This window comes from Homo sapiens, chromosome 4 (assembly GCF_000001405.40).
Source record: "Homo sapiens chromosome 4, GRCh38.p14 Primary Assembly".
NCBI lineage: Eukaryota > Metazoa > Chordata > Mammalia > Primates > Hominidae > Homo > Homo sapiens.
Window position 1 is genome coordinate 14,750,419 of NC_000004.12, and position 26,936 is coordinate 14,777,354.

At 40.9% G+C, this 26,936-nt stretch overlaps 1 long non-coding RNA gene across 1 annotated transcript in view, besides 2 other annotated features; it reads right to left on the minus strand.

Moving 5' to 3' along the window:
- The window catches only part of LINC00504 (long intergenic non-protein coding RNA 504), a 417,705-nt gene that overhangs the window by 279,954 nt on the left and 110,815 nt on the right, over positions 1 to 26,936 (minus strand). The window lies entirely within an intron of this gene.
- Positions 18,115 to 18,334: an enhancer, noted in NCBI's record as "active region_21330". NCBI's record gives its function as "activates an Ori minimal core promoter by ATAC-STARR-seq in GM12878 lymphoblastoid cells {active_cell/tissue: GM12878}" and the evidence as "EXISTENCE:reporter gene assay evidence [ECO:0000049][PMID:35858748]".
- Positions 18,375 to 18,424: an enhancer, noted in NCBI's record as "active region_21331". NCBI's record gives its function as "activates an Ori minimal core promoter by ATAC-STARR-seq in GM12878 lymphoblastoid cells {active_cell/tissue: GM12878}" and the evidence as "EXISTENCE:reporter gene assay evidence [ECO:0000049][PMID:35858748]".

A 26,936-nucleotide genomic window follows, 5' to 3' on the forward strand; every position in this document is an offset into this window, starting at 1 on the left:
TGACATGATCTAAATGGGGAAGGAGTGGAATGAGAGATCACTTTAACCTTAAAACACAAAAAAATGGGATTTTTCCCAAAGGCAGTCATATTTCAAACCAGGGGGTGCAGGGTATAAGAAAGCACAGGGACCTTTAGTTTCCTAAGGCAGGCATAAGGTGGCTAGATGACTTGAAACAACTGAAATGTATCTTCTCACAGTTCTGGAGGTTGGAAGCTTGAAATCAAGGTGCTGGCAGAGCCATGCTACCTCTGAAGCTCCTAGGGGATGAGACTTCCTTGCCTCTTTAAGCTTCTGGTAGTTACAGGAGTTCCTCAGCCCAAAAATGCATCACTCTGATCTCTCTGTCCATCTGCACATAGTCTTCTGCCTGTGTCTTTGTGTCTTCACTTGGCTATCTTCTTATAAAGATGCCAGTCATATTGGATTAGAAACTCACCTTACTCCCGTATGACCTCATTTTAACTAATTGCTTCTACAATAACCCCATTTTTAAATAAGTTAACATTCTGAGGTACTGAGCATTAGAACTTCAGTATACTCTTTGTGTAAGACACACCATAAATGACCATGTGGACTGAACTTCCAGAGAATTGATTTCCACTCCCCCAACCAGGGCCTAGGCTGTGGTTTGCCTGATGGGGTCATTGAACCCTTAGGCTCAGGAGAACCCAGCATGCATAAGTCTCTTCCCAAGTCTACATTCAGTGACATCATGCTGATGGTTTGAAGTCAGCCAGGTGGGAATATTCACACCATGCAAATTAGTAAAAGCTGCTCAGAGAGCCTGTTGTTCAATATTCACCAGCCCACTACTGTAAGTCACTAAGCTAAGGGAGTCACTTGTCTACTGTGAGATAGAAAAGACCCAAGACCCATGGGTTTCAGGAGATGAGAGTGTGTAGAACTGTAGAGAACTCCACTATTTATTGAGGAAGTCAGTTCACTTCTCCAAGAAAGTATGTAAATGCAGGATACCTCCCCTCTGCTACCCAACAGGCCCATGTTGAAGGCTGAAAGAGATAATGGTATAAGTACAATGTGTTCTTTTCAAAAAACAGAATTTTGCTGCTTTTTTTTTTTTTAACAGAATCTTGTTTTATTCAGCATGAAAAGTACAAAAAGCCTCAGACATAATCCACAGTGGGTGTATTAGTGCATTCTCATGCTGCTATAAATAACTGCCTGAGACTGGGCAATTTGTAAAGAAAAGAGGTTTAATTGACTGTGGGGCTAGGGAGGCTTCAGAAAACTTACAGTCATGGTGGAAGGAAAAGCAAACATGTCCTTCTTCACATGGCAGCAGGAAGGAGCAGAATGAGAGCTGAATGAAGGGGGAAGCCCCTTATAAAACCATCAGCTCTCATGAGAACTTATTCACTCTCATGAGAACAGCATGGGGGAAACAGCCCCCATGATTCAATTACCTCCCACCGGGCTCCTCCCATCACATGTGGTGATTATGGGAACTACAATTCAAGATGAGATTTGGGCATGAACACAGCCAAACTGCATCATTCTGTTCATGACCCCTCACAAATCTTATGTCTTCATATTTCAAAACATAATCATGCCCTTGCAACAGTCGCCTAAAGTCTTGTCTGAGACAAGGCAAATCCCTTCTGCCTATGAGCCTGTAAAAATCAAAAGTTAGTTACTTCCTAGATACAATGAGGGTATAAGCACTGATTAAATACATCCCTTCCAAGTGGGAGAAATTGGCCAAAACACAGGGCTACAGGCCCCATGCAAGTCTGAAATCCAGTAGGGCAGCCAAATTTTAAAGTTCCAAAATGATCTCCTTTGACTCCATGTCTCACATCCAGGTCACACTGATACAAGAGGTGGGCTCCTATGGCCTTGGGCAGCTCTGCCCCTGTGGCTTTGCAGGGTACAGCTCACCTCTCAGCTGCTTTCATGGGCTCTTGTTGAGTGTCTGTGGCTTTTCTAGGCACACAGTGCAAGCTATTCATGGATCTACCACTCTGGGGTCTGGAGGACAGTGAACCTCTTCTCACAGACCCACTAGGCAGTGCTCCAGTGGGAACTCTGTGTCGGGGCTCCGACCCTACATTTCCCTTCCACACTACCCTAGCCGATGTTTTTTATGAGGGCTCTTCCCATGCAGCAAACTTCTGCCTGGACATCCAGGCATTTTCATACATCCTCTGAATTCTAGGTAGAGGTTTCCAAACCTCAGTTTTTGACTTCTGTGTTCATGCAGGCTAAACACCACGTGAAAGTCATCAAGGCTTGGGGCTTAGACCCTCCAAAGCCATGGCCCAAGCTGTACCTTGGCCTCTTTTAGTCATGGCTGGAGAGGCTGGGATGCAGGGCATCACGTCTCTAGGCTGTATACAGCAGGAGGGCTCTGGGCTTGCCCATGAAACCATTTTTTCCTACTAGGGCTCTGCGCCTGTGATGGGAGTGGCTGTCATGAAGGTTTCTGAAATGCCCTGGAGATATTTTCCCCATTGTCTTGATGACTAACATTCTGCTCTTCATTACTTATGTAAATTTCTGCAGCAGGCTTTAATTTCACCTCAGAAAATGGGTTTTTCTTTTCTACTGCATTGTCAGGCTGCAAATTTTCCAAACTTTAATGCTATTCTTCCTCTTGAGTGCTTTGCTGCTTAGAAATTTCTTCTGCCAGATACCCTAAATAATCTCTCTCAAGTTCAAAGTTCTACAGGTCTCTAACACAGGGCAAAATGCCACCAGTGTCTATGCTAAAGCATAACAAGGGTCACCTTTACTCCGGTTCCCAACAAGTTTGTCATCTGAGACCACCTCAGCTTGGACTTCATTGTCCATATCACTATTAGCATTTTGGTCAAAGCAATTCAATGAGTCTTTGGACTCATTCCAAACTTTCCCACATCTTCCTGTCTTCTGAGCTCTCCAAGCCTCTAGGAAGTTCCAAATTTTCCCACATTTTCCTGTCATATTCTGAGCTCTCCAAATGTTCTGACCTCTGCCTGTTACCCAGTGCCAAAGTTGCTTCCACATTTTCAGATATCCTTATAGCAGCACCCCACTCTACTGGTACCAATTTACTGTATTAGTCTGTTCTCATGCTGCTATAAAGAACTGCCCGAGACTGGGTAATTTATAAAGAAAAGAGGTTTAATTGACTCACAGTTATATGGGGCTGGGGAGGCCTCAGGAAACTTACAATCATGGTGGAAGGGGAAGCAAGTATGTCCTTCTTCACATGGCAACAGGAAGGAGAAGAATGAGAGCCAAGCGAAGGGGAAGCTCCTTATAAAAACATCAGATCTCATGAGAGCTTACCATCATGAGAATATCATGGAGGTTCAATTACCTCCCACCAGGTTCCTCCCACCACATGTGGGGATTATGTGAACTACAATTCAAGATGAGATTGGGGTGGGGACACAGCCAAACCATATCAGTGAGTGTCCAATAAATATTTATTAAATTGAAGTATTACTATCTTAATCAGAAGAGTGGGTTTTCTGTAGTTTGTTCATAATTTACCTCCAAAAAAAAGCATAAGTAAGTCTAGGATATTGACCAGTTGCTAAGCCAGAATGACTTCTTAAAAGACCTTGTCAACAATTTACCCAGCAGTGGCTAATGCTTTTCTGTCTCCAACTGGGACCCAGAAGAGAACATCATCTCTTTTCTCCTTCATTTTCCCACACTTCCACCACCTTGTACACAGCTCCTATTCTAAGGCCTTACTTGGACTCTGAAATTAGCATCATAATGGGTCTTCCAGCTTCATATCTGCCCCACCAACTCAACTACTTCCTCATTTTGCTCCTGGGGTTTTCTTTGTAAAGACGTATCTGACCATTTCATCCCCCTGTCTAAAACCTGAAAATAATTTCTGTCACCCTCAAATACAATCCAAACTCCTTAGTATGGCATTCAAGTCTCTGGGGCTATTATCCAGTCTGGGTCTGGGTCTGGATAGGATCTTTTGATGCCTGATCCCACCTCAGATGCAGATGGGCAAGTAACCCAACTTAGCCAATTAGATTTTCCCAACCCTGGTCACTGTGGTTGGTAATCCAGGAAGATCACTGACCCAAATAAGGCCAATCAGTCTTCCCTGGGGTTTATTTTTTAAAAAAACAATAAAGTTTCTCTTTATTTCAAGTCATTAGGCTGGAAATAAATAATTCTAGACATATCTATGATTGTTTTTTACCGCATAGGAATTCCATATTCCATCTTGGCAATAAGAAAACACACATACACATACACACACACACACACACACACACACACAAACAGAGAGAGAGAGAGAAACAGAGTCTCAGGAAAGCGAAGATAGAAAGCTAGAGGCAGAAGAGAGAAGTGAGGTCTTTAAGTTTGGGTCCAGTTGCTCTGGGGCCATCTTTTTTGGCCCAACTCATGCTTTGCCACACAAGTCCATCTCCATTCCACCTAAACCACCTCCAGTTGGGTTTCTGTGATGGAAAAGACTCCTCACAAACAAGACAACCATTGACATTCTGTCCCCAGCCTGTCCTTCCAGCCTTGCCCATTTTTCTTCCCTGGACTCTCTCCTCCATACCTTTGCACAATCTGATGTATATTGCTAAAATTCTCTTGTCCACTGTTTAGGCTTCTACTTTTTTTTCATCTTGATTGTGTGTTTCTTTGTAAGCTTTTGGTCTGTCTTTCCCAGTGTGGACGAATTTCAAATGATCAAAGTATAGATGGGAGGAGCCAAGATGGCCGAATAGGAACAGCTCCGGTCTACAGCTCCCAGCGTGAGCGACGCAGAAGATGGGTGATTTCTGCATTAACATCTGAGGTACCGGGTTCATCTCACTAGGGAGTGCCAGACAGTGGGCGCAGGCCAGTGTGTGCGCGCACCATGCACGAGCCGAAGCAGGGCGAGCCATTGCCTCACCTGGGAAGCGCAAGGGGTCAGGGAGTTCCCTTTCCGAGTCAAAGAAAGGGGTGACGGACGCACCTGGAAAATCGGGTCACTCCCACCCGAATATTGCGCTTTTCAGACCGGCTTAAGAAACGGCGCACCACGAGACTATATCCCACACCTGGCTCAGAGGGTCCTACGCCCACGGAATCTCGCTGATTGCTAGCACAGCAGTCTGAGATCAAACTGCAAGGCGGCAACGAGGCTGGGGGAGGGGCGCCCGCCATTGCCCAGGCTTGCTTAGGTAAACAAAGCAGCCTGGAAGCTCGAACTGGGTGGAGCCCACCACAGCTCAAGGAGGCCTGCCTGCCTCTGTAGGCTCCACCTCTGGGGGCAGGGCACAGACAAACAAAAAGACAGCAGTAACCTCTGCAGACTTAAGTGTCCCTGTCTGACAGCTTTGAAGAGAGCAGTGGTTCTCCCAGCACACAGCTGGAGATCTGAGAACGGGCAGACTGCCTCCTCAAGTGGGTCCCTGACCCCTGACCCCCGAGCAGCCTAACTGGGAGGCACCCCCCAGCAGGGGCACACTGACACCTCACACGGCAGGGTATTCCAACAGACCTGCAGCTGAGGGTCCCGTCTGTTAGAAGGAAAACTAACAACCAGAAAGGACATCTACACCGAAAACCCATCTGTACATCACCATCATCAAAGACCAAAAGTAGATAAAACCACAAAGATGGGGAAAAAACAGAACAGAAAAACTGGAAACTCTAAAAAGCAGAACGCCTCTCCTCCTCCAAAGGAACGCAGTTCCTCACCAGCAACAGAACAAAGCTGGATGGAGAATGATTTTGACGAGCTGAGAGAAGAAGGCTTCAGACGATCAAATTACTCTGAGCTACGGGAGGACATTCAAACCAAAGGCAAAGAAGTTGAAAACTTTGAAAAAAATTTAGAAGAATGTATAACTAGAATAACCAATACAGAGAAGTGCTTAAAGGAGCTGATGGAGCTGAAAACCAAGGCTCGAGAACAACGTGAAGAATGCAGAAGCCTCAGGAGCCGATGCGATCAACTGGAAGAAAGGGTATCAGCGATGGAAGATGAAATGAATGAAATGAAGCGAGAAGGGAAGTTTAGAGAAAAAAGAATAAAAAGAAATGAGCAAAGCCTCCAAGAAATATGGGACTATGTGAAAAGACCAAATCTACGTCTGATTGGTGTACCTGAAAGTGATGTGGAGAATGGAACCAAGTTGGAAAACACTCTGCAGGATATTATCCAGGAGAACTTCCCCAATCTAGCAAGGCAGGCCAACGTTCAGATTCAGGAAATACAGAGAACGCCACAAAGATACTCCTCGAGAAGAGCAACTCCAAGACACATAATTGTCAGATTCACCAAAGTTGAAATGAAGGAAAAAATGTTAAGGGCAGCCAGAGAGAAAGGTCGGGTTACCCTCAAAGGAAAGCCCATCAGACTAACAGCGGATCTCTCGGCAGAAACCCTACAAGCCAGAAGAGAGTGGGGGCCAATATTCAACATTCTTAAAGAAAAGAATTTTCAACCCAGAATTTCATATCCAGCCAAACTAAGCTTCATAAGTGAAGGAGAAATAAAATACTTTATAGACAAGCAAATGCTGAGAGATTTTGTCACCACCAGGCCTGCCCTAAAAGAGCTCCTGAAGGAAGCGCTAAACATGGAAAGGAACAACCAGTACCAGCCGCTGCAAAATCATGCCAAAATGTAAAGACCATCGAGACTAGGAAGAAACTGCATCAACTAATGAGCAAAATCACCAGCTAACATCATAATGACAGGATCAAATTCACACATAACAATATTAACTTTAAATGTAAATGGACTAAATGCTCCAATTAAAAGACACAGACTGGCAAATTGGATAAAGAGTCAAGACCCATCAGTGTGCTGTATTCAGGAAACCCATCTCACGTGCAGAGACACACATAGGCTCAAAATAAAAGGATGGAGGAAGATCTACCAAGCCAATGGAAAACAAAAAAAGGCAGGGGTTGCAATCCTAGTCTCTGATAAAACAGACTTTAAACCAACAAAGATCAAAAGAGACAAAGAAGGCCATTACATAATGGTAAAGGGATCAATTCAACAAGAGGAGCTAACTATCCTAAATATTTATGCACCCAATACAGGAGCACCCAGATTCATAAAGCAAGTCCTCAGTGACCTACAAAGAGACTTAGACTGCCACACATTAATAATGGGAGACTTTAACACCCCACTGTCAACATTAGACAGATCAACGAGACAGAAAGTCAACAAGGATACCCAGGAATTGAACTCAGCTCTGCACCAAGCAGACCTAATAGACATCTACAGAACTCTCCACCCCAAATCAACAGAATATACATTTTTTTCAGCACCACACCACACCTATTCCAAAATTGACCACATAGTTGGAAGTAAAGCTCTCCTCAGCAAATGTAAAAGAACAGAAATTATAACAAACTATCTCTCAGACCACAGTGCAATCAAACTAGAACTCAGGATTAAGAATCTCACTCAAAGCCACTCAACTACATGGAAACTGAACAACCTGCTCCTGAATGACTACTGGGTACATAACGAAATGAAGGCAGAAATAAAGATGTTCTTTGAAACCAACGAGAACAAAGACACCACATACCAGAATCTCTGGGACGCATTCAAAGCAGTGTGTAGAGGGAAATTTATAGCACTAAATGCCTACAAGAGAAAGCAGGAAAGATCCAAAATTGACACCCTAACATCACAATTAAAAGAACTAGAAAAGCAAGAGCAAACACATTCAAAAGCTACCAGAAGGCAAGAAATAACTAAAATCAGAGCAGAGCTGAAGGAAATAGAGACACAAAAAACCCTTCAAAAAATCAATGAATCCAGGAGCTGGTTTTTTGAAAGGATCAACAAAATTGATAGACCGCTAGCAAGACTAATAAAGAAAAAAAGAGAGAAGAATCAAATAGACACAATAAAAAATGATAAAGGGGATATCACCACTGATCCCACAGAAATACAAACTACCATCAGAGAATACTACAAACACCTCTACGCAAATAAACTAGAAAATCTAGAAGAAATGGATACATTCCTCGACACATACACTCTCCCAAGACTAAACCAGGAAGAAGTTGAATCTCTGAATAGACCAATAACAGGCTCTGAAATTGTGGCAATAATCAATAGTTTACCAACCAAAAAGAGTCCAGGACCAGATGGATTGACAGCCGAATTCTACCAGAGGTACAAGGAGGAACTGGTACCATTCCTTCTGAAACTATTCCAATCAATAGAAAAAGAGGGAATCCTCCCCAACTCATTTTATGAGGCCAGCATCATTCTGATACCAAAGCCGGGCAGAGACACAACCAAAAAAGAGAATTTTAGACCAATATCCTTGATGAACATTGATGCAAAAATCCTCAATAAAATACTGGCAAACCGAATCCAGCAGCACATCAAAAAGCTTATCCACCATGATCAAGTGGGCTTCATCCCTGGGATGCAAGGCTGGTTCAATATACGCAAATCAATAAATGTAATCCAGCATACAAACAGAGCCAAAGACAAAAACCACATGATTATCTCAATAGATGCAGAAAAAGCCTTTGACAAAATTCAACAACCCTTCATGCTAAAAACTCTCAATAAATTAGGTATTGATGGGACATATTTCAAAATAATAAGAGCTATCTATGACAAACCCACAGCCAATATCATACTGAATGGGCAAAAACTGGAAGCATTCCCTTTGAAAACTGGCACAAGACAGGGATGCCCTCTCTCACCGCTCCTATTCAACATAGTGTTGGAAGTTCTGGCCAGGGCAATCAGGCAGGAGAAGGAAATAAAGGGTATTCAATTAGGAAAAGAGGAAGTCAAATTGTCCCTGTTTGCAGACGACATGATTGTTTATCTAGAAAACCCCATCGTCTCAGCCCAAAATCTCCTTAAGCTGATAAGCAACTTCAGCAAAGTCTCAGGATACAAAATCAATGTACAAAAATCACAAGCATTCTTATACACCAACAACAGACAAACAGAGAGCCAAATCATGGGTGAACTCCCATTCACAATTGCTTCAAAGAGAATAAAATACCTAGGAATCCAACTTACAAGGGATGTGAAGGACCTCTTCAAGGAGAACTACAAACCACTGCTCAAGGAAATAAAAGAGGACACAAACAAATGGAAGAACATTCCATGCTCATGGGTAGGAAGAATCAATATCGTGAAAATGGCCATACTGCCCAAGGTAATTTACAGATTCAATGCCATCCCCATCAAGCTACCAATGACTTTCTTCACAGAATTGGAAAAAACTACTTTAAAGTTCATATGGAACCACAAAAGAGCCCGCATTGCCAAGTCAATTCTAAGCCAAAAGAACAAAGCTGGAGGCATCACACTACCTGACTTCAAACTATACTACAAGGCTACAGTAACCAAAACAGCATGGTACTGGTACCAAAACAGAGATATAGATCAATGGAACAGAACAGAGCCCTCAGAAATAATGCCGCATATCTACAACTATCTGATCTTTGACAAACCTGAGAAAAACAAGCAATGGGGAAAGGATTCCCTATTTAATAAATGGTGCTGGGAAAACTGGCTAGCCATATGTAGAAAGCTGAAACTGGATCCCTTCCTTACACCTTATACAAAAATCAATTCATGATGGATTAAAGATTTAAACGTTAAACCTAAAACCATAAAAACCCTAGAAGAAAACCTAGGCATTACCATTCAGGACATAGGCGTGGGCAAGGACTTCATGTCCAAAACACCAAAAGCAATGGCAACAAAAGACAAAATTGACAAATGGGATCTAATTAAACTAAAGAGCTTCTGCACAGCAAAAGAAACTACCATCAGAGTGAACAGGCAACCTACAACATGGGAGAAAATTTTCGCAACCTACTCATCTGACAAAGGGCTAATATCCGGAATCTACAATGAACTCAAACAAATTTACAAGAAAAAAACAAACAACCCCATCAAAAAGTGGGCGAAGGACATGAACAGACACTTCTCAAAAGAAGACATTTATGCAGCCAAAAAACACATGAAGAAATGCTCATCATCACTGGCCATCAGAGAAATGCAAATCAAAACCACTATGAGATATCATCTCACACCAGTTAGAATGGCTATCATTAAAAAGTCAGGAAACAACAGGTGCTGGAGAGGATGCGGAGAAATAGGAACACTTTTACACTGTTGGTGGGACTGTAAACTAGTTCAACCATTGTGGAAGTCAGTGTGGCGATTCCTCAGGGATCTAGAACTAGAAATACCATTTGACCCAGCCATCCCATTACTGGGTATATACCCAAATGAGTATAAATCATGCTGCTATAAAGACACATGCACACGTATGTTTATTGCGGCACTATTCACAATAGCAAAGACTTGGAACCAACCCAAATGTCCAACAATCATAGACTGGATTAAGAAAATGTGGCACATATACACCATGGAATACTATGCAGCCATAAAAAATGATGAGTTCATATCCTTTGTAGGGACATGGATGAAATTGGAAACCATCATTCTCAGTAAACTATCGCAAGAACAAAAAACCAAACACCGCATATTCTCACTCATAGGTGGGAACTGAACAATGAGATCACATGGACACAGGAAGGGGAATATCACACTCTGGGGACTGTGGTGGGGTCGGGGGAGGGGGGAGGGATAGCATTGGGAGATATACCTAATGCTAGATGACACATTAGTGGGTGCAGCGCACCAGCATGGCACATGTATACATATGTAACTAACCTGCACAATGTGCACATGTACCCTAAAACTTAGAGTATAATAAAAAAAAAAAAAAAAAAGAAGTTTACGGATAAAAGAAAAAAAAAACAAAGTATAAATTCACTGCAGTATCCCTGACACCTAGACAGGGCTGGGGATATAGTATTTGTACAACAAATATTTTGCTGAAGAAATAAACACATTTATCCTCAAAATAGGAGAGAAGGTGGTCATGATAAAAGGTTGCAGGCTTAATGTCTTAGCTTTGCTAGACTATGAACTCGCTGAGAACAGGCAACAATTCTTACCATGTCAAAAGCCCCAGCCCAGTGTGCAGTTCCTTGCGCATGGGGGTGCCCAGTAAAAGGGAATAGGCTCGCTTTGTCTATAAGCCTGTGGGGTCTGAAGAAAGCCCCAGGAATCCCTAAACATTAGGGGCACTCAATAAACCTGTGTTTAAACCTAGGTGAGAATTAGTCTAGTTTTAAGCACAGTTTTAATGAGTGCCCCCAATGACTTCTGGCTTCATCCCTACTCTTTTGGAAGGAATAATAAAATTAATTTATTATTGATAAGAGCAGCCAATAACTTATCTCTTACTAAAGGCAATATAATTTTTTCATAATTTTGCAGTTTTGTAGTTTTATGTAATTTAGTCTATAGAAGAACCTTATATTGAAGCTATTATAAGTCTTTCCTTTTTACAGATTAGGAATTGAGGCTCAGAGCTGTTAAGTGACTTGCTCAGAAGCCCATGACAGTCAGTGTCAGGGAAGGACTGGAATCTGGGGCCATCGTCAACTAGCCCCTCCGCCATCACTCACTTAGTGGACACTCTGAGGCAGGCCCCATACTCACATTCAGGATAGAGATATCAGTGGGACACAACGCCTGTCCTCGAAGGGAACACAGAAACTGATGGCAACATGCAAGGGAGAACATCAGGGTAAGGTACAGGGAACAGAAGCTGAGGGTAGTGGGAACAGCAGCATCAGAAAAGGTCCTGAGGACTGAATTTTGGAAGGTGAGTAGGAGTTAGCTTGGAAAGGAAGCAGAAAGGAATAGAGAAGAAGAAAACAGGAAGCATTCTCCAACAAAGAGACAAGTGTCTTTGAGGGCTAAAACCAGAGTTGGCAGTAGCTCCTTAATTAACAGGACTCAAAGATCAGGATTTGAGGTAAGGAATGGGAAGAGGGAAGGGGTAGATGATCAAAATTCCAAAAGGCCATTAGTGTCTCATCAGGGAGTCAGACCATCCTGAAGATTTGTGCCTAGAACAAATACAGCACAGTGTCCTAGGAATGGACTTAGGAATCAGAAAAACATAGGCTGTTATAGCCTCAGTTTGGAAAACAGAGCCCCAGGTAAGATCCTATATGATAGTTCTTTATTATGTATCCCAGAGAGTAGAAGTGAGGGAAAAGGAAGACGAAATAGGAACATAGGTTGAAATAAAAAGATGCATTATCAATTTGGCTGCCACAAGGCACAACTTGTTGCTTGATTCTGTAGGACTGTTCTTCAAGAATATATATAAAATGTATGATTGCATAGCCTGCCCAGGGTAACAATCAGTATACCTGATTCTACCTCCTACCGATCAAAGATTCATCCCATGGAGCATTAATTCTCCAGTTCTTGTGGGCTGGGTATGCACAGGTGACTAAAGGTACTGTGCAGTTGGGGTCACAGAGAAGCCGCAGGACAGAAGGCAGCAGGCATAGGGTGGCTGGGTGAGGTGGTGTCAAGTCACCTCTGCCTGAAGTAAGTGGAACTCACGCTGAGCTTATTGCTATAGCAGCCCCTGAAACAAAAAACCAAGTGAAGCCAAGAAATAGGTAAGTCTTGTGCAAACTGTCCCAACGCCTGCTGGCTATGTGTCTTACATGTGCCTCAGTTTCCTGTGAATAAAATGGAAAGAGTAATTGTACCTGGCTCATGAGAAAGTTCCAGTGCTCACAGTTGTTCCTAGAACACAGAAAATGCTCAATAAATAGCAGCTATTCTTATTACTACTGTCATCATCAAAAACAGTGGTATGATCAAACTAACTTTGCCAGAGATTTACATTTTGAGTCATTGATTTTTAACCTATTATTATATATACAGAAGTTTATCATTAAAAATGCATGAGTAACCTTGAGCTTTAAAAATAAAAATGCAGCACTTTTTAAAATCCCTTTTATCTCTGTTCCTGGAATCAAATTGACCTCTCTCTAAAAACGTGTCTTGGAAAGCACCATGAATGAGGACACAGAAGATGTGGGCCTCAGTTTCATCTTTGTACAGAGCTGTGTGTCCTTAACAATTGCATTTGTTCCAACCAACAGAATGTATTGATTCTGGGGGGAAGGCCCTGGGTCTTGCCCTACAGACAAAAATCAGTCAGGGTTAGTCTTCTGAGATCTCAGTCTAGGAGGTGAATACAGACCCTGAAACATCTGACTCTGGTATCAGACAGTAAAATTTTCACAAATATTACAAATAACCAAGGAGCAACCAGAGAATCACATGGAGTCTCTAGAAAATTGGTTTCCTCACAAGGTCACAGGAATCCAACAGAGCGTCCCAAGTATGGAGCATAAATCTCTAGTAAAATTGAGGCAATTTAGGTGGTATACAGACAGGACATTAAATAAATTATAATTAATAGTGTAGTAAGAAAGTAATTCTCTTTACAATCCTTCTGGTTCTTTCAGGAGGTAGCCGCCATGTGGAACTTGATAATCTTCACTTTTAATAAAGAAAATATGAGACCAGTGGCTTGCTCAAAGTTTTTGGCTAACTTGGTATTTGTGTATAATTGTATAAATTTGTTTCATTTTACTTTTTTTCATAATTTCTATGTAAAGTTTTACTTTTTAATTGAAGATAACAATATATTGCTTTTATTTTAGACATAGTCATTTAAGTTTTAAAAAGTAACTTGATTGAAAAACACATTATATAAAGACAGTACAGATGCTATGTAAATGTAAGGAAATAATTTTTCACTCTATGATTCAATATAAAGTAATCACTTTGATGGATAGCATCAAATATAGCAAAATCATAAAGGTAGAATGAAAATTTCTGAAGTTGGGGAAATATTGGAGTAGATGACTTAGAAGCCCTCCTGTTTTCTAAATATGTTTTGTCTATTATACAAATACTTATGGAAAACACATCTGAGAAGAGTCCTTCAAGGGCGCTGACTCTGCCAGGGTGATTTACCTGCTTCATCCTCTGTGGCTTGGAATGAGGATATGATGGATTTAGCCAAAGCAGTCATTTTTGACCATGAGGTGGTCTTGATGATGGATGCCAAACTCCAGGAGAAGAAAGAAAAGAGATTGGGACACCATTGAATACCGTACCACTAAAGCCAAAGGAGTCCTAGGCTATCTACTGGTAGGCTTCTTTTATATGATACTGAAATAAACTTCTTTCTTGTGTATTCTACTGAATTTTTAGAGTTTCTGTCAGATGCAGCTGAACCTAATATTAAATGATGTAGCATTTATTTCTTGCAAGAGAGGTACTATGAGAAATGAAATCTAAAATACAGTATTACCTCATTGCATAAAGTCCTAAAGGCAAATATTGTGGACTAGGATATTGCAGGTAGAAAAGCTGAAGTCCCATGCTATATGATAGCAAAACAGTTTGCCAATCTATTGACTAACAGAAGTTGGAACACAGACCACACACTCACTTAGGCTATACCATTAGGAGAGAGGAAAGGAAAAGTCAAGAATGTTGATATATTAGTTATCTATCACTGCATAAAAATTACCCCCCAAACTTAGCAGTTTAACACAGCAAAGCATTTATTATCTGACAGTTCCTGTGGGTCAAGAATCTAAGCACAATTTAGCTGGTTCTCTCTGGATTAAGATTTCTTTTAGAATTGTAATCAAGATTTTTCCTGTGGCAACAGTATCATCTGAAGACTCAACGGAAGGAGATCCACTTACAAGCTCACTGATGTAGTTGGCAAGATTCAGTTCTTCAATCAAAGGCCTCCTTCAATTTCTTGCCATGTGGATCTCTCCAGAGAACAACTCACAACATGGAAGTTGGTTTTCCTGAGAGAGCAAGTGATAGGATAAGAGAGAAAGTATACCCAAATCTTAATCTCACAAGTTGTATTTATCACCCTGTTGTGTTGTGAAGTGTATCAGTAAATTCAGCCCACATTCAAGGGGTGTAGATTACACAAGTAAATTCCAGAAGGTAGGGATCATTAGGGACCATCATAGTTGCTTACCATAGTTGATATGTGATAACACTGTCTGCCACTTTCAACAAAGATTCACAAAAAATAAAGTCAAACACCACCTATCCATTTACAAAAAGAATAGCAAGAAATGAAGCTTTGCTTTGTCTGCAGACTAAAATCTAGGCTCCCTAAGAGGCCATAATTGGAGGTCTAGAAAGATTATAGTCTAACCTGAATCTGTTATCAGCAGCTGCAGGCTTAGCATCAAATAAACTTGCTGGTGAAATGAAAATAAGTGAATTGCTTCCTGACCAAAGCCTATTGTTTCAGATGGCCATCAAGCTAGGGGAGAAGAATGGACAGATCACAGAGGTCTCTGATTGAAATTCAAGAGCCGTCAGGTTTAAAATCTCTAGCTGGACAAGATTTGGGGCTGTGGTCACTTATATGTGGAACTTTCCAGAAGCATATGGAACAGGAACCTTCTAAGTTATTAAGCAAGAAACTGCCCCACGAGAGTTGTTATTTGTTATGGACTTGTGGCTGTTGGGTTTGTCCAACCCTCTCCTTTACTGAGTGGAGGTTCTTTCTGCAGGAATGCTGTTTCTGCTTCACTGCTGGTTGCTGGTGGACAAGGAGTGAGAAGGAGATAGGTTGTGTCAGTGTGTAGGTCACTGGGGTTTAAGGAGATAAAATCAGACCTGGTGAAGAGAACTGCACATCTTCCAAGATCCTAGACTTTCAGCAAATAAAGCACCTGGAGATACCAAGGTCCTCTTCCTTGGATGGGGATTATATTCTAAATATAAAAAAAAATGTAGGTTTGTGCTGGGCGTGGTGGCTCATGCCTGTAATCCCAGCATTTTGGGAGGCTGAGGTGGGTGGACCACGAGGTCAGGAGTTCGAGACCAGCCTGGCCAATATGGTGAAACCCTGTCTGTACTAAAAATACAAAAATTAGCTGGGTGTGGTGGTGTGCACCTGTAGTCTCAGCTACTCAGGAAGCTGAGGCAGAAGAATCACTTGAACCCAGGAGGCGGAGATTGCAGTGAGCCGAGATCGTGCTACTGCACTCCAGGCTGGGCAACAGAGTGAGACTCTGTCAAAAAAAAAAAAGTAGGTTTGGAGGTTAGGCAGCTAAAGGATCAACTGTGACAGAAATTGTTTGATGACTACCTAGTATCTATTGTCTTCTTTTGCACAGTCTAAATATTGGAGCCTCCAAAATGAAATACTCCTTGAAACTAAAGCATCTTTCACTCCTTGTGTCAATTGTTGTTCTGGGCGAATCCCCTCACACCCAGCAGAAAGTGTTGGTTTGATAGAAGAAGCAGAAATGAAGCTGGAACTATTAGGAATCAAAAGAGGGAAGGAAAACCTGAAACAGATAAAGTTTGTGTATTAATCTGTTCTCACGCTGTCACAAAGAGCTACCTGAGACTGGGTAATTTATGAAGAAAAGAGGTTTAACTGACTGACAGTTCCACAGGTTGTACAGGAAGCATGGCTGGAGAGACAGAAATATATGACCATGGCAGAAGGGTGAAGGGGAAGCAAGCACCTTCTTCACATGGTGGTCGAGGACCAGGGGGAAGAGAGAGAGAGAGAAAGAGAAGGGAGAAGTGCTACACAGTTTCAAACAACCAGATCTCATGAGAACTCATTCACTATCAGGAGAGCAGCAAGGGGGATGTCCACCCCATGATCCAATCACCTCCCACCAGGTCCCTCCCCTAATATCGGGGATTAGAATTCAATATGAGATTTGGGTGGGGACACAGAGCCAAATCATAGCAGTGTGGCTTGAAGGTTCTGCACAAGCAGCCCCCAAATGGAGTTGAAAAAGTACAATAGACACATTTTATCCACTTGGCAGTTTTTTCAACTTTTGGCAATAGTCAGGATAGAGCCTGTGAAAGTTAAAACTTCAGGACTCATTTGGAAGTTGGGACACTAAGTTCTTCCACTTTGATGTGGTCTTTCTGTTGTGGAGAAGAAAACTAGAAATAAAGGAAGTGAAACAGAAAATGAAGGAGTGAGCAATACTCAGCACAGATGGCTTAATTCAAACAACAGGATGAAGCTGATTGCTTCCCTGACACTGATTATGTGCTGCCACTGTTCTGAGTGCTATACATACACTGCTAATCACTTCACTTTCTCAGCAAGGGGATACTCTCTATCTCCATTTTACATATGAAGAGACTGAAGCTCAGATAGCCTACCAGCCAGGATCCTAACCCAGGCATTTGGTGTCTAGGGACCATGTGCCTAAGGATCAGCTCCTCTGTGCAAAATTGTTTGAGTCAGCTAGGGAAGGAGTGTATGAATCAATTACAGTATGACCAAATTTATAAGTAAGTAAATTACTGAATGCATACATTTACAGACAAATGAACTGAATAAATATATAGACAGCATCACTTTTCTGAGAACTAAAAAGGATTTGGCAAATCTCCTTAGTCTTTATCTTGAGATATATCCTCCATGAAATCTTTGAATCTAATCAAAACTGCCACTAAGGGAAGGCAGGTTGTTATTTGCATCGTTGTAGGTACCATAGGGGAGGAGAAGCCAGGGTAGGGAAGAGAGGGAGAGAACATCAATGCAGCTTCACTCGTTCCTCTAAGGCCAGCCTTGCTGCCTCCCATGCCACAGAGTCCAAATCACCCACCAGTTACTTTCCAAGGAAATTATATTTTCTCTTCCAAAATGTTATTATTACGGATTTATTTGGCTTTGATTAAAGAAAAAATAGGGGGAAAACTGCTATCAGTCACTCACATTTCATTGTCCATTTATTTATTCACTAATTTATTTGCTGGACATTTATTAAGTCTGTGTGCCAGGATTTGTGTCAGATCCAGCTTTGCCTTGAGAGGAGAGTTGTTGTCTTAGGTTTGATTCCCCTGGAGGTAGACTGAGACCAGAATGGGTGTGCAAGAGGTCTGTTTGTAAGCAATCCCAGGACAACTGGCACAAGTGTGTGAGTAGCAGAGTCAGATTGGGCAGGGAAGGAAGCTAATAGAGGGTATGCCTTCATGCCGGTTAGTGCAGAGCTCAGTTTTACCTGGGCAACCCTGGAACATGTTGTAGAACATACCTCCAAGGGACCCTGCCCAAGGGGTGATGAGATAGGCTCATGAAGAAAAGAGGTTTAATTGACTCACAGTTCTACAGACTGTACAGGAAGCATGGCTGGGGAGGCCTTAGGAAACTTATGATCATGGCAGAAGGGCAAAGGGGAAGCAAGCACCTTCTTCACATGGTGGAGCAGGAGTGAGAGGGAGAGTGAAGGAAGAAGTTCTACACAGTTTCACAGTTTCAAACAACCAGATCTCATGAGAACTCACTCACTATCATGAGAATAGCAAGGGGGAAGTCCAGAGTCTTATCATCTAACTCACATCCATAATTGGTTGAGGTGAGGGCTGCTCCCAGGTACCATAATCCCCTTGCACTTTTGGTTTCCCTGTCTGTGATGCAGAAAATTCTCTCAGACTGAAAGCTGCAGGTGCTTGGAGTAGGATACTGTAGGCATGCACTAGAATGGTGAGTGCCAAGAGGATATAGTATGGGTAAGACCCCGCAGCATCTGCTACAAATGAACACATAGATGATTAATTTAAGCAGAAGCTAGACTAGGAATATGACCCTGGTACTACAAAAGCACATAGAAGAGAATGATTGATTTATTCTCCACTAGGCTTCCCTGACCACACAAGCACACACTTGTACACACATATCCATGCATGCACATGTACACACACATGCATACCTATGCGCAGATGCACACACACATGCACACACACACTCTTCTTCATTCCACAGCTCACAAGTAATTCTTTATCAGGTAACTTGGCTAAATGCTTATGTTCTGCTGTTTACAAGGATGAAGGCTGTCCTTTTGAGACCTCAAGCCTTGGAAAGACTGTGATTCCTCTTCTGATATGGAATTCAATGTAAAATCACCCTAACATATAAATATGTGTATGGAAGTTCAAGCTAGTTGTGATTTTTCTGATGTTGATACGCCAGTTTTTTTTGTATGTGCAAAAAAATGTCATATTTTTTCCAAACAATTTCTTGGTGTCCCTGTTTTGTTTGTGTCTCGGGTGCATACTTGGTGTGCCCATTGGGTGGTCTCTACACTCTTCACAAAACTAATGCATCATGCGGAGGAGGGTGACCTTGTCCACTTTAGAATCAGTGGTTTCTGCAAGGCCTGGTAACATTAGGCATAGAGTGGGAAGTCGTTCAATGCTAGATGGATGGGTGGGTGGATGGATGGATGGATGGATGGATGGATGGATGGATGGATGGATGGAGAGAAATATGAGTGAGCTCTATTTGAAGAGAGAAATCCTAGGACATGTCAGAGCTTTCAAAGATGAAGTAAGCTCTAAACTTAGACTTGGAGGATGGCCATTGGATATCTTCAGATAGGGGATTCAGTGTGGGAGATAGGGAACACCTGACTTTTCAGGTGTGTTGAAAAACACCGTTCAGTTTAACTTAGTTGTACTATTGGATTGGAATTCATCAGGCTCCTGAGGTTAGAGTTTCTCAGGGCCTGCAAGTCAGGGCCTTGACTTGGGAAGACCACACAGGTGGTCTCTGAAGTTGTCAGCAGCTTTGGCCACTGCCACAGATAATTTATTCCCTCTGCTGGAACTTCAGCTACTGAGAGGGACAGGCTAATTGGGTCTTCCTGGCAATCCACGTCAGCTAGAAGCTCCCTGCTACAATCCCTGCACCTCCTTTCTAACCTTTTGCAGTGCCAAGGCATAAAGAGAAGGAACATTTATAAAGCACATGCCTGCTGAGAATACCCTGTTGTGATTGTTTTCCTCAGTTCAGACAATCCCTGCCAGCTACTTCAAAGGCTTTTGAAGTTACTGCTAATTTAAAAGCAATAATAAGATTGACACTGAAATGCTTCCCAGCTGGTTTTTCTGGGCAATAACTTTCACCAGTTCCTTTACAGCCTGCTTTCTGTTACAGTTTGGGGTTTGGAAAACATGGGCTTCTAAAACACTCAAACAGAACAGAACATGTTTCTAAAACAAAGAAATAACATGATCCTAGCACAGATAAAAACATGTTCTTCTCCATTTAGGATATATTTCTTAACAATGAATGTCAGTGAAATGTACCTAGCCCAGTACCTGGCACTTAACAGAGTGCTTATAGCAAGTGTGGGGTCAATGAGTCCTAGGTTTAAAACTCAAGTCTTCCACTTATTAATTGGTTGTTCTTAGACAAGTTATTTAATGTCCATAAAACTCCAAGTTATCCTCTAAAAATAGAGTATAAAAGTACCTCCCATGAAAGCTAGTTGAGAAAGTGGAAACTCAAGGATTTAATAAAAACACAGGTGTAAGATTCAGATCGGAGATGAAAGCTTAGCTTTGCCACTTTCCAGCTGGTAACCTAGGGCTTAGTCAATTCACCTAACCTCCCTGAGACTCAGTTTCTTTACCTATAAAATGGAAATAATAAGACATCTCTCATAACTCATATAGTAGACATAATAGGAATTAAATTTTATGACATAATATTTAATGGCACAGTATTTGGTACTGAGTTCAGTAAAATGACAGCTTTTATGGATGTAAAGATGAAATGAGAAAAAGTATCCAAGTAGCTGTCCCAGTATCTGGCACTTAACAGACTGTTTCACAAGCTTTTTCTATTTTAAAACCATTTTCATTGACATGTCTCTATCGGCTGTTGCCTCATAATCAGCTTTCTCAATGTTCAGTGATTAATTTTATCACTGTTTTTATTATTGTCACAGTGATTTAATCATTTTAAACATTCTGTCAATGTTTAAGCTCCAGCTTAGAACAGTAACAGCTTAACATGGCTCATGAGTTGCCCCTTCAGCTGCAGGCTGGGAGTTCTTCTGACCCAGAATAGCTTTGGTTGCAATTGTTTGTCTGCTCCACAGTTTTGTATCCTCCGGCAGGCTAGCCCCAGCTTGTTTATTTACATCAGAACCAGGCAAAGTCCCAAAAGTGAGTGGGAAAAGACTTGGAACTGGCATCTCACAGCTTCTGCCACATCATTGGTCAAAGCACATCACCAGACCAACCCAGATCCAAAGACTGGGGGAAAGACTGCATGTCTTGATGGGAGGTGCTGCAGAGTTATATGCAAAAGGGCATGAACATGGTGAGATGTGGAAAGAAATGTGTCCATTATCGCAATCTATCATATTGCTCCAAAATAAATTGTAGACATTTTACCATGAGTTCGTCATGAGAACTCAGATGCTCAATCTTCAGGCATAGGCTCAGAAACAGCCTGTCAGCCCCTTGGAAGTGACAGACTATGAGCTTTTCTTTTTTAAGAAAACCGGTTAGCCATGTAATTTGCCTCATATGTCCTTGGAAGAACTAACCTGGCATTGCTTTTCTCACACTATCTGCCTGAGCCTTCCCACACTCATAGTAGGGGTGCTGAGTGGCAGTCCTATGGACTGTCATTATGCAGCAGCTGCAATGCTCTTACCAAAGCAGGGATAGCAAATGGGCATGATGCAGCTCCTGAATGCCAACCTTGCCACAGGCCCATCAAACCATCTAAGTTAGGGTGGGTAGCTTAGCTAGGATCCAGAATTGTTGGGGTTACCAGAAAGGGCAGAGCCAGTGCCCTCAGGGTTGGGAGAGGATCAGAATGTCAATTCTTTCCCATCTTAGTCATAGCTAGGGTGGGAATTCAAACTGACTCAAGGGAAAGAGAATATGGTTATTTAAATCTGGTATCATTAAAGAGCACAGGAGATATAGTCAGAATTGGTGTGAATCCCAGTTCTGCTGTTTACTCACTCTATGACCTTGGATGACTTGCTTACCACTCCTGGTTTCCATTCTTCCAATCTTCCTAATGGGGACAATAATATTTAATTTACAATGATACAATGAGGACTGGATTAAGGATATACCATATGTAAAACACGTGACAGGTGGGCACTCAATAAATGTATATTTCACATTCTATCATACTAGCAGCCTTCTAAAATGGGGTATTAATAGAACAAATCAGAATGAGACGTTTAAATAGTGAAGTTGAATACCTTCTTTTTGAAGTAGTAGGATCTGTGCACTAACTAGAGATGATGAAAATAAATGGTTGCACTTGAAACTTCAGAAAACCCTACTCATATAAATGCCACCCCTACTTTCCAATACATTTGGCCCCATTATGACTTCTTATTTCTCAGCTTTTCTTTTATTGGCTTATCCGGATAGTCAGATTATTGAGAGTTCTGTATGACTATGAAACCAAAGCATGGTAGAACACTTAGGGTCTGAACTCAAGCTTTCTGTTTCCATATTAAGTCACTTAGGTTAGGGAGAAGACTCAAAGCTGCCACTAATGCAGAGCAAGTCCTAGAAGCTGGCTTATCGCAGGACCAGCTTTGGTTTCAGGCAGAACTTACACTAAGGTTCCTAAACTATCTTTTTATCTTTCCATTAAGAATAACCCAAGAGTATTTTTTTTCAGCCAAGGTTTACACTGGAATATAAATTTTATTTAGTACAATTCTCAATAACTTACTAAATACGTATATGTGAGAGGTAAGGTGATATTACTAACAACTAGTATTTATTTGATGTCCACCATGTGTCAGGAACATTGAACACAATATATCTAATACTCACTATGACTCTAAGAATGGTGTATGGTTAAGGTGAGGTTGGGCTAAAGGTAAGGGAGACTCAAAATGTAACAGTGGCTTATGCAAAAGTTTACTGCTCTGTCTTTGTAAGTTCCAAGACAGAAAATAAGCTTATATACTGACTGTGTTCCAAACCATTTTCAAGAACCCAAGCTCCTCTGAATGTGAAGTTTATTCCCAAGATATCTTCAGAGTTCAAAATTATTGTTTGGCTGACAGCCACTATGCCCACGTTCCAGCCAGCAGGGCAACATAAGGACCAACAATAAAGGTAAAGGGTGTGATCCACTTGTTTTTTTTTTTTTAAAAAAAAAAAAAACTAATAAATAAATAAATTTGATAAATAAACTTACAAAATTTATTTATCAAATCTAGAAGTCTTTTGGGGAGTTCTTGGGGTTTTCTACGTATAAGATCATATCATTAGCAAACAGAGATAATTTGACTTCCTTTTTGCCAGTTTGGATGCCTTTAATAAGCAGCATTTCTATACATCAAAAATAAGCAAGGTGAGAACCAAATTAAGAAGTGAATCCCATTTACAATAGCTATAACAACAATACAACAACAACAACAACACCTAGGAATATATTTAACCAAGAAGGTAAAAGATCTTCACAAGGAAAACTACAAAACGCTGATGAAAGAAATTGTGGGTGATACATACAAATGGAAGAACATTCCATGCTCATGGACTAGAAGAATCAATATTGTTAAAATGACCATACACTCAAAGCAATTAATAGGTACAATGAAATGAATATCAAAATCCCAATGTCATTTTTCACAGAATTAGAGAGAAAAAAAAAGCACTAAATTTCATATGGAACCAAAAAAGAGCCCAAATAATCAAGGTAATCCTAAGAAAAAAGAACAAAGCTGGAAACATTACATTAACTGATTTCAAATTATACTACAAGGTTATAATAATCAAAACAGCAAGGTACCATTATAAAAATAGACATAGATTAATGGAACAGAATAGAAAACCTAGAAATAAATCCAAATACCTACAGACAACTCATCTTTGACAAAGTTGACAAAAACACACTGGGGAAAGAACACGCTATTCAATGAATGGTGCTGAGAAAATTAGCTCGCCAAGTGGAGTGAAACTAAAACCCTACCTCTTACCATACATAAAATTTAACTCAAGATGGATTAAAGACTTAAATGTAAGTCCCAAAACTATAAAAAATACTAGGAAAAAGCCTAGGAAAAATTCTTCTAGACATAGGCCTAGGTAAAGAATTCATGACTAAGACCTCAAAAGCAAATTTAAAAAAATAGACTTAAATAAAAATCAACAGAGTAAAATGCCACCTGCATATTGGGAGAAAATATTTGCAAACTATATATTCAATGAAAGACTAATATCCGGAACCTACAAGGAACTCAATTCAACAGCAAAAACCAAACCATACCACTGAAAAATGAACAAAGGGCACAAACAGACATTTTTTAAAGGAAGACATAAAAATGGCCAAGAAACACATGAAAAAATCCTCAACATAACTAATCATCAGAGAAATGCAAGTTAAAACCACAATGAGATACCATCTTAAACCAGTCAGAACAGCTATTAAAAAGTCAAGAAAAATAATAGATGTTGGTGAGGATGTGGAAAAAAGCAAATTGTTTATACACTGTTGGTAGGAACGTACATTAGTGCCAACTCTATGGAAACCAGTATGGAGATTTCCCAAAGAACTAAAAGCAGATCCACCATTTGATCCAGCTATCCTACTACTGGGTATATCCCAAAGGAAAAGAAATCGCAATATCAAAAAGATACCTGCACCTGTATGTTTATCACAGGACTATTCATAATATCAAAGATATGGCATCAACCTAAGTGTCCATTAATGGATGATTGGATGAGGAAAATGTAGTATATACATATATACGATGTACTACTACTTGGCCACAAAAAAAAGAATAAAATCATGCAGCAATGTGGATGAACTTAAGCCTATCTAAAGTGAAATAACTCAGAAACACAAAGTCAAATGCCACATGTTCTTACTTATAAGTGGCAGCTAAATAATGTGTACATATGGACATAGAGTGTGGAATAATAGACACTGGAGACTCAGAAGGGTGGGAGAGGGGCGAGGAATAAGGAATTACTTAACAGGTACAATGTGTACTATTCAGATAATGGCTATACCAAAAGCCCAGACTTTACCACTATGCAGAACATCTATGTAACAAAATAGTACCTGTACCTACTAAGCCTACAAAAAATAAAAAAAAAAAATTAAAAACATTTTCCAAGTAAGGACCTATGACACTTCAGCATGAATATCACTAGCCAACACTTAGTCAAAGGCTTTAAGAGTACCTGGAAAATGTACTCTTCATTCTGGCTAGTGATTTTCTAAGAAGAAAGAAGAAAATAGATACTGAGGGAAAATTAGCAGTCTAGGCCATTGTTATTAAAATCTTCAAAATACAGAGTAGAAACAGCCTCAGAGATGTTGTCACTTGCTTAGCTAATCCAGATTTGAGCCCAGGGTTGTGTGAGTTTATTTCATTCTTTCTACTAAATTCTATTGTTATAAATCCATTCTTTCTATAGGGATCAAGGCCATAGACAATGCCATTAATGAATGGATTAGTGGAGTGGAGTTCCAGATATGCCCCATCCCAAACTTCAAACCTCCTTCTTCCACTGTTTTACAGCAAGGTTATGACTAAGGATAATTATTACATTGCCAGTGATCTTTAAAAAAAATCACAAAAACTCTCCCCTTTAGTATTCTCATCTGTACAATAGGTATAATACCTATTAAAAATCAGGATCAAGGGCTTTAGTATATGTAAAAGAGATATATAAACAGAACAATACTGTAAACAGATGTTAGCACATTTTGTTATTTTATGTAAGGCATTGAGTACATTATTTTATGTAAGTGGGTCCTCATAGGAGGAGGAGATGTATTTCTGCAAGGGGCAAGCTTTAAATGTTTCATGAATGCAGCGGCACTTTTATTTATTTGTCAGTCAGGGACTGAGGAAGAAGGTGCTCTGGACTAGGGGCACCCACAGTATAGAGACAATAGAGTTTGCCAGGACATGGTGTTTGGGGAAGACTAAGGAAATGAAAAAGAATAAACCCCCATGAATCACTGATGACGGGCAGATATCCTTGCAATTATGTGGCTATTCTGGGTGACCTTCATTCTCAAGGTCATCTTATGGTAATGATAAAAGGTGGCTACTCTAGCCACTTTGTTCACCATTGTCTTGCCCAAGCAGCTTATCTAAAAGAGACGAGAGAGGTAAATGAAAGAAGTTATGGTGACTCTGATGGGGAACTATACAGCCCATTCCTAGGAGAGTTACAAAAGATGTGTTCATTAGGGATACAACAAAGGACCTAGGAAAGAGAAGGTCTAGCTCCATATCCAAGTGAGTAAAGGCTAGGATTATGCAATAGCTAATTTCAAATAGTCCTATATTCTGAGGATTCCCAGATTTTTATGTTCTTATTCCTTTACTCCTAGTCTCATCTGTAACATTCTCAAAAGACTTCAAGAGAGTTTTGTGTTATCTTAGTAACATGATAGTAAGAAGGGCACCTGTGTCACCATCCACAGTGGCCAGGAATGAAGGGAGTGTTGTGTGGGACATAGGAAAGGGAGAAGCAATAGGGAAAAGCAGGCAGGCTGGTCCCAGAAGCCAAGTGGACAGATTCATAAGACTGACTGGGTTTTCCAGAGCTGGAACCTCCTGAAAAATCCTCAGCTTTCCCTCGCCCAGCCTTCCCCCTTAGCTTAAGCCTAAGATGCATGTTCAAGATGTATGAAAGGTCTACATGTCTAGACTTCTCTCCCGAGACAAAGGGAAGGTGCCTAGGTGCATGAAGTCTGAGATGTATACAATTTGGGAGAACCTCTTCAAGAAATAGAATACAAACTTGGGGATACAGAATTAATTATGGAGCCTTGGAACAAAGTGAAAGAAAAAATAAGGCAAAGAGAACACCATATAAGAAAATAGTGAATGGGACTCACGTGATTGGATTCTACAATTGACTTTATCATTAACCAATCATGTGAAAATAAATGCATCACTCTCCTCACTGAGCCTAAGGTTTATTCTGGAAAATGGTGTCTCCTCCCCCATCTCCATCAGTCAGGGTCAAGGAAGGAAATAGATGGTTTGATATGGTTGGGCTCTGTGTCCCCACCCAAATCTCACCTTGAATTATAATAATCCCCACGTGATATGGGAGGGACCTGGTGGGAGGTAACTGAATCATGGGGGCAGGTTTTTCCTGTGTTGTTCGTGATAGTGAAGAAGTCTTATGAGATCTGATGGTTTTATAAAACGCAGCTCCCCTGCACATGCCCTCTTGCCTGCCACCATGTAGGGGAGGCCATTGCCCCTCC